Source organism: Homo sapiens, chromosome 9, assembly GCF_000001405.40.
Source record: "Homo sapiens chromosome 9, GRCh38.p14 Primary Assembly".
NCBI classification, from domain to species: Eukaryota; Metazoa; Chordata; class Mammalia; order Primates; family Hominidae; genus Homo; species Homo sapiens.
In genome coordinates this window covers 119,991,591-120,001,128 of record NC_000009.12, presented here as the reverse complement: position 1 = coordinate 120,001,128, position 9,538 = coordinate 119,991,591, and the positions used below count along the sequence as shown (strand labels likewise).

At 45.7% G+C, this 9,538-nt stretch overlaps 1 annotated feature.

The window, feature by feature from the left end:
• Positions 2,400 to 2,900: an enhancer, noted in NCBI's record as "H3K4me1 hESC enhancer chr9:122760507-122761007 (GRCh37/hg19 assembly coordinates)". NCBI's record gives its function as "activates a minimal SCP1, AML or CMV promoter by ChIP-STARR-seq in naive H9 embryonic stem cells {active_cell/tissue: H9 hESC(naive)}" and the evidence as "EXISTENCE:reporter gene assay evidence [ECO:0000049][PMID:30033119]".

Here is a 9,538-nt window from a genome sequence, read left to right as displayed (position 1 = left end):
GTTGTGGGTTCTTCTCTGGGGCTCTCAGGCCCTATGTGTGTGAAATAAAGGCAGTGGACCAGATTGTCTCTCAGGTCCCTCCTTGGAACTCAGACATTTTGAATGTTTCCCATTGTGTGATGTGTCCTCATAAGACACAGGTATCAACAACCAAGCAGTAAGTGTTTTGTTCAGTCAATGATTCAGTCAGTCGGGAGGAAAGAAGCTTGGTGAAGGGAGCAACTGGCTGGGGTGAGCTGGCCAAGGCAGGCTTCCTGGGAGGTGGATCCTGAACAAGGAGCAAGGTTTTGTTAGATAAAAGATGATTGTAGGAGAGTAAGTGGTCCAGCAAAGGCTAAAGGAAAGAAAGTGCACCAGGTTTTCTGGAAACAGTGAAGAGTCAGCAGGAGTGTGAGTAAGGCCACTGGGTGTTCTGGGCCACTGCTTTATATGAGCATCACTTTGCCTGGCTACTGGGCTCAGAGCTCCTCTAGGGAACAGGGGCCACATTGTTCTTTCTGCATTCCCAGATCCTGGCACAGAGACAGCCATGGAGTAGCACATAACAAATACTCATTTAATGACAGAAGGATTTCTCTGAGTCCCCAATATCTAGCTGCATTTCACCAGATAACTTTGAATGAACAAATGGACAAAAGCTGAATTCTGCTAACATTTCACAACATCTACTCGAGAGACTCAAAGGGCATATCCTTTGGAAGTTTGTGGTTCCTGGATATCCTACATGATTTTGGGAACCAATTTCTTGTTGTGAGCCTTCAAGCCATTTTTGGATCCTGAGAGCTCTAAGACCGAGTGCTTTATATAGAATATATATATATATATATGCATGTATGAATTATTTTATTATATATTTCTTCTCTGGTTTTAATTGTTGCTGAGCTCATGCTTTATTTTAATTAATGTTTTAATTTAGTGCATGCACCATGAGGCACTTTCTTGGAGGGTATAATTAAGTCAGAAAAAAATTGGCTACTCCAGCATTAGGGGCTGGGAAACCAAGGCTCAACAAGGGTGTGTTTTGTCATTAAGAAAATTAGGGATGAATCTGGGAGATGAATATGGAGCACCTACTATGTGTCAAGCAGTCAAGCACAGCTACATGTGATGTGTTCTACAATGTTATGTAGTTCTATTTTAGACTCTCAGCAACCCCGCAAAGCATAGATGAAGAAAAAGACTCAGACGTTTAGTAACCTCTTCAGATTCTAGCAAACTGTAAAAGGAAGCGTCAAAATGTGAGTCCACATCAGTTTGTTCTTTAATCTTTGGTTTGTTTTACCAGACTGTGCTTTGTTATTTAAGGTTACACAGAACTCTCTCTCTCTATATATATACATATATAAAATATATATATACACACACACATCCATATATGGAGATATATATATATATATATATATATATATATATATAGAGAGAGAGAGAGAGAGAGAGAGAGAGAGAGAGAGAGAGAGAGCGAGTGAGAGAGAGACAGGGTTTGACTCTGTTGTCCAGGCTGGAGTGTAGTAGCACAATCATGGCTCACTGCAGGCTTAACCTCCTGGGCTCAAGCGATCCTCCCACCTCAGCCTCTCAAAGTGCTGGAATTACAGTTGTGAGTCACCATGCCCGGCCAATATTTGCTGAATGGATGAATGAATGAATGAACAAATAAATGCTCAGGAAATGCTATTTCCAACCCTCATTCCTTTTTGTAAACTGTAAAGTGCAACTGATTGTCTATTACAGCAGAAACAACAGATACTCTACCCACTTGACAAATGAAGAGCCTGAGAACTAGAGTGAAATACTCATCTCCTATATTGTACAGTTTTTTCAGTTGACCGAGAACTTCCATGGTGTTTCATTCATTCAAGACATGTGCTGAGTGTCTACTGTGTACTTGGCCTTTCACAGTTGAATCTTGTGGCCTGCCTGATGGGTAGAAAGCACATGTTGCATTATGCCCATTTCTCAGGAGTGGGGGAATGCCACAGGAAATTATATGGCCAAACTCATTGAGTCTCTAATGCTGCATTTCTACTTGTCTCCCTCAAGTGACCTGCTTCAGGTTCTGTTCCTTCATATTGGTCTGCCTGGAGAATCTTAGAATTTTCATAGGCTTGATGTTTGCCTGGAAGGCAGGGGAGAAACTGTTAGAGGGGGAGGAGACTGGAACTATAAATGCCTTGCTTCCTGCAGCATTCTGAGCACGGGCATGGTGTCTGTGACATTGAGTGTGTTTAATAAATACATTCCCTGCTTAATCTTCCCCTTCCTCCAGTGGCTGCCGTCTACTCAGGATAATGTCCAAACACTTGGCATGGCTTATAAGGCAAGGAATGCAAGTGTACAGCTGAGAGGGTATCCTCACTTCTTGCATTCCATTTGCCCTCCAGGCCTTCCCTGGTACTCTCAGACCAGGCTGTCCTGTAAAAACACCAAGTAAAAACAAGTCATGGTCTGTTTTTTCCTCCATGTTCCCAGGAGATTTGGGGTTTCTTAAGGGCAAGGCCATCTCTTTCACCTCTTTACCTCCAATACCTGCAACAGGGCCAGGTGCGTAATAGAATTGTAATAAATGTCTGTGAAAGAAGTCGTTGAATGAAACTTGTTCACTCCAGGAGGCGGTGTGGACTGGAGTGTGTTCTTGTTTCTCATTTGCATTGTCTGGTGCTGGGCCCTCCCCGGGGCAGTGACTGACCTTTGCTGCATCTTCCAAAGTGCGTTGTGCTGCGGGTCTGCAGCTGTGTGTCTGGCATGAGCTCGCATCTATTGCTGCAATTTGTGAGCACCAAAGCCATTTAATTAAACGGGATGGAATTGAATCTGCGAGGTTGTTACCACCGATACTGTTTTCCATGCATGGCCGTTCTGCAAGGGAATCCACGGGAGGCCTGGGTGTGAGCTCCTTGCTCATTCTGGGCCTACTCCCCACCCCCAGCCCAGATGGCATGTGGGGGCGGCTGAGATTCTGGGCACAGATCTGAAGTCAGAGGTTCAAAGCCCCTGCATGTGCGTGTCCCTGTGGGTGGGTCGCGAGCCGCTGACAGACGTGTGCCTCTCCCCAGGAAGCAGCCAGAGCTGCTTAAGCTAATTTTGCTGAGGGGAACCTTGCCAAGCCAGAGGGAGCTTTCATTTGCCTAAGTTTGCATCAATAATTAATCCAACCTGGTTTTACACAAGACTCAACATAAAGTTATTAGCTCTGAGAGCTTTTCTTGAGCTGGTCCCAGAAGAGGGCTATCATGAGCCCAGGAACTGATGACCCAGTGAGGCTGCATAGGTGGCTTAGAAAGTTGTTTTCTCCTTCCCCGTTTCAAGCTTCCTCCATGGTTCCATCTAGGCCTCTGCCATTGATGGCCGTAACCTTCTGAAGTTCAAGGTCATTTCTCTGCTCAGAAACCTTCCATGGCTTTCCACTGTGTCCCTAATTCAACACCAATTCCCCCTGGATTTTCCTATATTTCCTACTTTCCCTCTCATAATTCCCCTCCATTCTGTCAATATTGCCAGACTGCCTCAACTCCCTGTCCGTCATTGCCTTGGCTCATGCTCTCCGCACCATATTTTTGTGGGTTGAACACTTACTCATTCCTCAAGGCTGAAATCCAATGCCATCTCCTCTAGGAAGCCTTTTATGATTTCTTCAACAAGGATCATCTTCTTTTTTCCACCTTCCAGAGATCTCTATTTTGAAAGGTACCAGTTTATCGTATATGACAATATTTATATACATGTCTTCATCCCCAAGCGGGTGTATGTTTCTTGTGGGTAGGTAGTAATAATTAATAAAGAAATGTCCACTAGACGTTGGGCAAGGGAAGGGGAGAAAATTGCAAAGGAAAGCTCTAACGAAGGGACGGGGGCAGTTCTGTACTTGCTGTTTCTTTCCCTGGATTGGATTTTTAATCTTATTTCCAAATTTAGCTAACAGCACCATTAGCTTCTGTTATGTGAGCTGGAAACCTCATCTTTTGTGAGCGTGTTTTTTCCTCCACCCAAATGGCTATTAAGTGTTGTCATTTATCTTCAGGAATATCTCCCAAATCTACCTGCAGTCCCTTTGTTATAGCAGCGGACCTCAAAATCTCTTGGAGGAAACAGCTTCTGATCTGCGGTTTCTGCCTGGGGTCTCCACCAACCCAGTCTTTTCCGAATACTCCCACAAGAGCCTTGCTCCCCTTCTCACAAACCTCCCTAAGTTGGGCCTAAGGTCAGAGCCTCACCTCTCCAACCAGGCATTCACAGCCTCATTCCTCACCACTGTCCAACCTACACCAGCTCCACTGAACTTCCCCTTGTGGCTCAAACATGCCCTGCTCTTCAAGGCCTTGCTACAGTTTCTTTTGTTGAGAAGGTTCTTCCAGCTCCCTTACCCTTTCAACCCTCAAGGCCCAACTCAAAAGTCCCCTGTCCTATGAAGTCAACCCTGTCTTCTCTTGCAGAGTTAGGGGAACTCCTCTTTGCTCCGATAGCACTTTGCTTGCACCTTGATGATAGCAGTAGTCCTATTGTATGATATACAGCTGACCCTGGAACAACGCAGGTCTGAACTGCATGGGTCCACTTTGACACAGATTTTCTTTTATCTCTGCCACCTCTGAGACAGCAAGATCAACCCCTTCTCTTCCTCATCCTCCTCAGCCCACTTAAAATGAAGATGATGAGGATGAAGATCTTTATGATGATCTACTTCTACTCAATGAATAGTAAATATATTTTCTCTTCCTTTTGATTTTCTTAATACCATTTTCTCTCTGGCTTACTTTATTGTAAGAGTACAGTATGTAATACACATAACATACAAAATAGGCCAGGCATGGTGGCTCACGCCGGTAATCCGAGCACTTTGGGAGGCTGAGGCGGGTGGATCACCTGAGGTCAGGAGTTGTAACCAGCCTAACCAACATGGTGAAAGCCTGTCTCTACTAAAAATACAAAAATTTTCTGGGCATGGTGGCAGGCGCCTGTAGTCTCAGCTACTTGGCAGGCCGAGGTTGCAGTGAGCTGAGATCATGCCATTGCACTCCAGCCTGGGCAACAAGAGTGAAACTCTGTCTCAAAAAAAAAAAAAAAAAAAAAGTGTTAATTGATTGTTTATGTTGTTGGTAAGAATTCCGTTTAACAGTAGAATATTAGTAGTTAAGTTTTGGGGGATTCAAAAGTTATATCTGAATTTTCAACTGCACAGGGGTCAGTGATTGTTTAAGGGTTGACTGCATTGCTTACCTCTGCATTGTTTAAGGGTTGACTGCATCTTTTATTCATGCATTTGCCCCCTGAAATCTGATCCCTTTGAAGGCAGTGATCATATTTTCTTTGTTTCTATATTCCCTTCTGCAAAGGTTTAGCCCACAGCAGATGCTCATGAAATATTTGTTGAATTGCTACATGAATATTAGAGAAGTTGGACATTAGAGAAGGCAGTCTTATGATCTATTGGGTGAGGAGATATCTGCTATGGTTATCGTCATTGTCTTAGTTGCTATTATTTCTCACCTGTCAAATAACACGTATACTATGCCCACCTGGCTTAGGTGTTCAGGCAAGTTTATATTTCAGATATCCTGATTTTCTGTCTCCTTGAAGAACATTTAGACTTCTCAGATCAGATGCCCTAGTATTTTGTTTTTAATGAAAATTTCTTCAAAAATACATTAAATGCCAAATCTATCCTCAGCCCTGGTCAGGTGCTGGGCAGAGTATCTGAAGCCGCATGGTTCCTGCATGGGAAAACATTCACCATCTGCTTATGGGATAGGACAAACAGACTAGTGTAAAGCAGGCTGTGCCTAATAATGACATTTCTGATCATAAAGTTGATCACCAAAAGAAAACCTCTATAGTAATAGAGCTACAACTGTGCTCTTCTCTTTTAGCAGTCAGTGCTAGCAAAGAGTCTTTTTTTGTTTTGTTTTGAGACAAAGTCATATTTCCAAGTTTTACTCCAGATATAAAATGTTGAAAGTGATGTGGAGTGAGGAGGGAGGTGGAGAGGGAAGGTATACGTATTTTAAAAGGTCTTTCCAGGGATCTGATACACCACCTTGTTGCCCAGGCTGGAGTGCAGTGGCATGATCTTGGCTCACTGCAGCCTCCGTGTCCCGGGTTCAAGCAATTCTCCTGCCTCAGCCTCCCGAGTAGTTGGGACTACTGGCACATGCCACCATACCCGGCTAATTTTTTGTATTTTTGTAGAGATGGGGTTTCACCATGTTGCCCAGGTTGGTTTGGAACTCCTGAGCTCAGGCAATCCGCCCACCTTGGCCTCCCAAAGTGCTAGGATTACAGGTGTGAGCCACTGCGCCCGGCCTGCAAGGAGGCTTTAAAGTGGGAGAATTAAATCATTCTGTTTAGAAAGGCATCACTGAGGTGTAGTTTGTTGAGCAAGATGGATCGAAAGTGTCTGTGTTTTGTTTGCCGGTTGACCAGCATACATTTCACCAGAACCGTTTTCTTTTTCTTTTTTTTTTTTTGCTCCCACTTCTCATACGATACCAACTGCCTTCTCTTTTCTTCCCAATAAATCTCCTTTTGTTTCTCTTGAGACTCTCCTGCCAGCCTGTCAGGAACTCTGCACAAAATAGTGTATTTCTGTCAAGAGTTCCATGTGAAGTGTTAACTGTCTTTTGAACACAGGAGGCAGCTGAGACGGTGTGGAGGGACACCCTTGTCCCAATGCCTGTTTACTTCCTTTCTGGCAAGCTCTGAGCCTGCCAATTCAGCTGCAGACACGGAGAGGGGTCCCATGGTCCTGCTCAGTTCCCAAAGGCTCTCTTGGAAAGAGCCTTGGAGAGGAGAGGATGCCTGAGGTCTTGTAGCTGATGGGGAAGCAGGACCTTCTGTGACCCCTGTGAATAATATTCCTAACTCAGAGCCACAGAACAGCACCATGCAAATGGGTCAAGGTGAAATGCTTCAGCTAGCCTGCTGTATGTCTTCAGGTCAGGTGCCGTACCTCTGTGTTTTCAGTTTCCCCATCTATATGAAAGGGAGAGTCCATGGTCCGTAGGGTGCCTTCCAGCTCTGTCATTCTATCATTTCACAAATCTGCAGCAGCTAAACCTCGTTGAAATGTGATTCTCTCTTGGGGATCCAAAGTCAATAGAAAAAGAATGGTCTAGGAGGTAATTCAAAGACCCAGGAGGGACATTCGTTCAAGGCTGTAGAAATAAAAATAATAATAAAATCTAGGATCAAAGTGCTTTTCCATCTCTCATCTCATTTGATCTTCCCAACAGTCCTATGGGAAGAGTCAGATACACAGGACTTTTCAGTGGACCATCAGAGCCACTATGTGCAGATGTTCAGGTTGTGCACTGGACAAGTGTGGCACATATGAGGAAACACCTTTCAAATTAGAAATATAGACTAACTTACATGAGATAGTGAACACAGTCAGAGAATCCAAGCCTTCTAGCTGGCATACAGGGCTGTGCATACACCCAGGGGAATCAATTGTACAACACGCTCACTGGTGAACACACATGTGCATGGCTGCCCCAGTCCCAAACACACTTTGGATGACTCCTGAGCTCACCTGCCTGTTGCTCTTGGAGACCCAATTCCATTTTTCCTCTCTCACAATCTGACACCATTGCTTCATCTGAGGGGTAAGACTGGAGTCTCAGAGAGTGTGTTCTGCAAATGGTGTGTGTGCCTGTGCTGGGCGAATGTGGGAGTAGACAAGATGTAGGGTCAATGGGGTTTGCCCACTGACCTCTGAAAACTTCCCCTGGGGCACAGTCAGGCCAATCCAAGGGGGCATATCCACACAGCAGCAGCACCACATAATTCCTATGGCACACACACTCTGGCCACCATTTTGAAAAGAAGCTGGAGATGCTGAATGTCTGTGCTTGTGAATTTTAGCTGATGGAACAGATTAAAGTGAGGGCTAGATCTTCCCCCTCTGCCCTATCCCCTCACTTCTCTTCCTCCACCTCCCCCTTTACATGAGGGCCATGCCAGGGGCGCTATCATAGCCGGAGGGGCCATCTGCCCACATCCCTGCTCTGCCAAAGCCAGACCGCTTAGGGGTATGCTGGTTAATACACCCACTTTAAAAAATGTTGCTGGAGCTACGGCATCTTTTCTTGATTTGCACAAAGATGCATTATAGGCTAGCTGTGGACATGTGGACTAAGGTGCATGCTTGGGGCTCTCTGTGGGCTATCATTTGCTGCACATATCACAGGTAACTTCCAAGATACTTTTGATACAGGTTGGATCATGCCACTTCCTCCTCAAACACCTTCGATGGCTCCCCATTTCTGTGACAGAGCTTTGCAATGGTAGAGGATAAAGGGCAAATGCCAGAATTACACAGGGCACATGATCAAAGTCATATTTCTAAGTTTTACCCGAGCTATAAAATGTTGGAAGTGATGTGGAGTGAGGAGAGAGGTGGAGAGGGAAGGTATATGTCTTTTAAAAGGTCTTTCTGGGGATCCGATACACCAGCCTGGCTAAGAAACACCATGTTGAAGGATACTACTTAGACCTTGCCATGGTTTTCTAGGACTGGCCCTAACCTAATTTTCTAGCTTCCTGTCCTGCCAGGCTCCTCCGCACACCCATGTTTCAGGCCACTCAGTAGAAAACCTGAGTGTCCATTATCTGGACACTATAGTCTAGATGCCATCTCCTCTGTGAAGCCCTCTGTGATTCTTTGGTGCAAATGGCTCCCTTCTTCCTTTGTGCTCCCACATCCTAACTGGGTGGGGGCTGAGATGTGGGTATGTCAGGGGCGTAGTCAATATCATCACACTGTTACACACACTGCTCCATCCAGTCAACCCATGGCTTTAGTAGGTTTTTCTCTTAGGAAGGAAAAGGAAAGAGATGATGGATATGCACGTGTGCTTGTGTGTTTGCATTGCTGTGTTTGTGTGTGTGTGTGTGTGTTTGTATGTGTGTGACTGGGTGTCTGACTGGGAGGGAGGAGGAGGGAAGAGAAGAATGACAGGATTTGGTGGCCTCTGTGCCCTGCTGTCAGCAGAAGCAATGGATTTTGAGCATTGACAGAGGGATGACAGTTGGAGCTGAGAGGCTGGATCCCTCCCATGTGAGACCTCAGGGCAGATGCAGCCCTGTACAGGGCACAGTGCGACCTAGAGGTATGTAAGGGATGTCTCCTGCCCTTACCCTCTCAGCCCCAGACCCCCGGTGCACCGTGGCTGCCGAGCAGAGTTGGATGCTGCTGCTGGAGCAGTGACTGCTGGAGGCACCAGCAGTGGTGGTGAGGTGCCTCAAGGAGAGAAGTCCAGAGTAAAGAATCCACCAGAATTCTTCCCAAGTGGTAGTATTTGAGAGGGGCCAGAGCACCTGCAGGAGAGCTGTGGCTGAGAGCCAGGGTGCTTCTGGCTTTTCTGCTGGGGAGCTCCTGGCTGGAGAGGCCAGGAGTTTAGAGTGTCAGAGGTATCTGAGGGTGCCCACAGTAGCTTCCTAGGGCTTCCATAGCAAACTACCACAAGCTGGATGGCTTAAAACAACAGGAATTTACTCTTTCACAGCTCTAGAGGCAGGAAGTCTGAAATCTAGGTGATGGCGG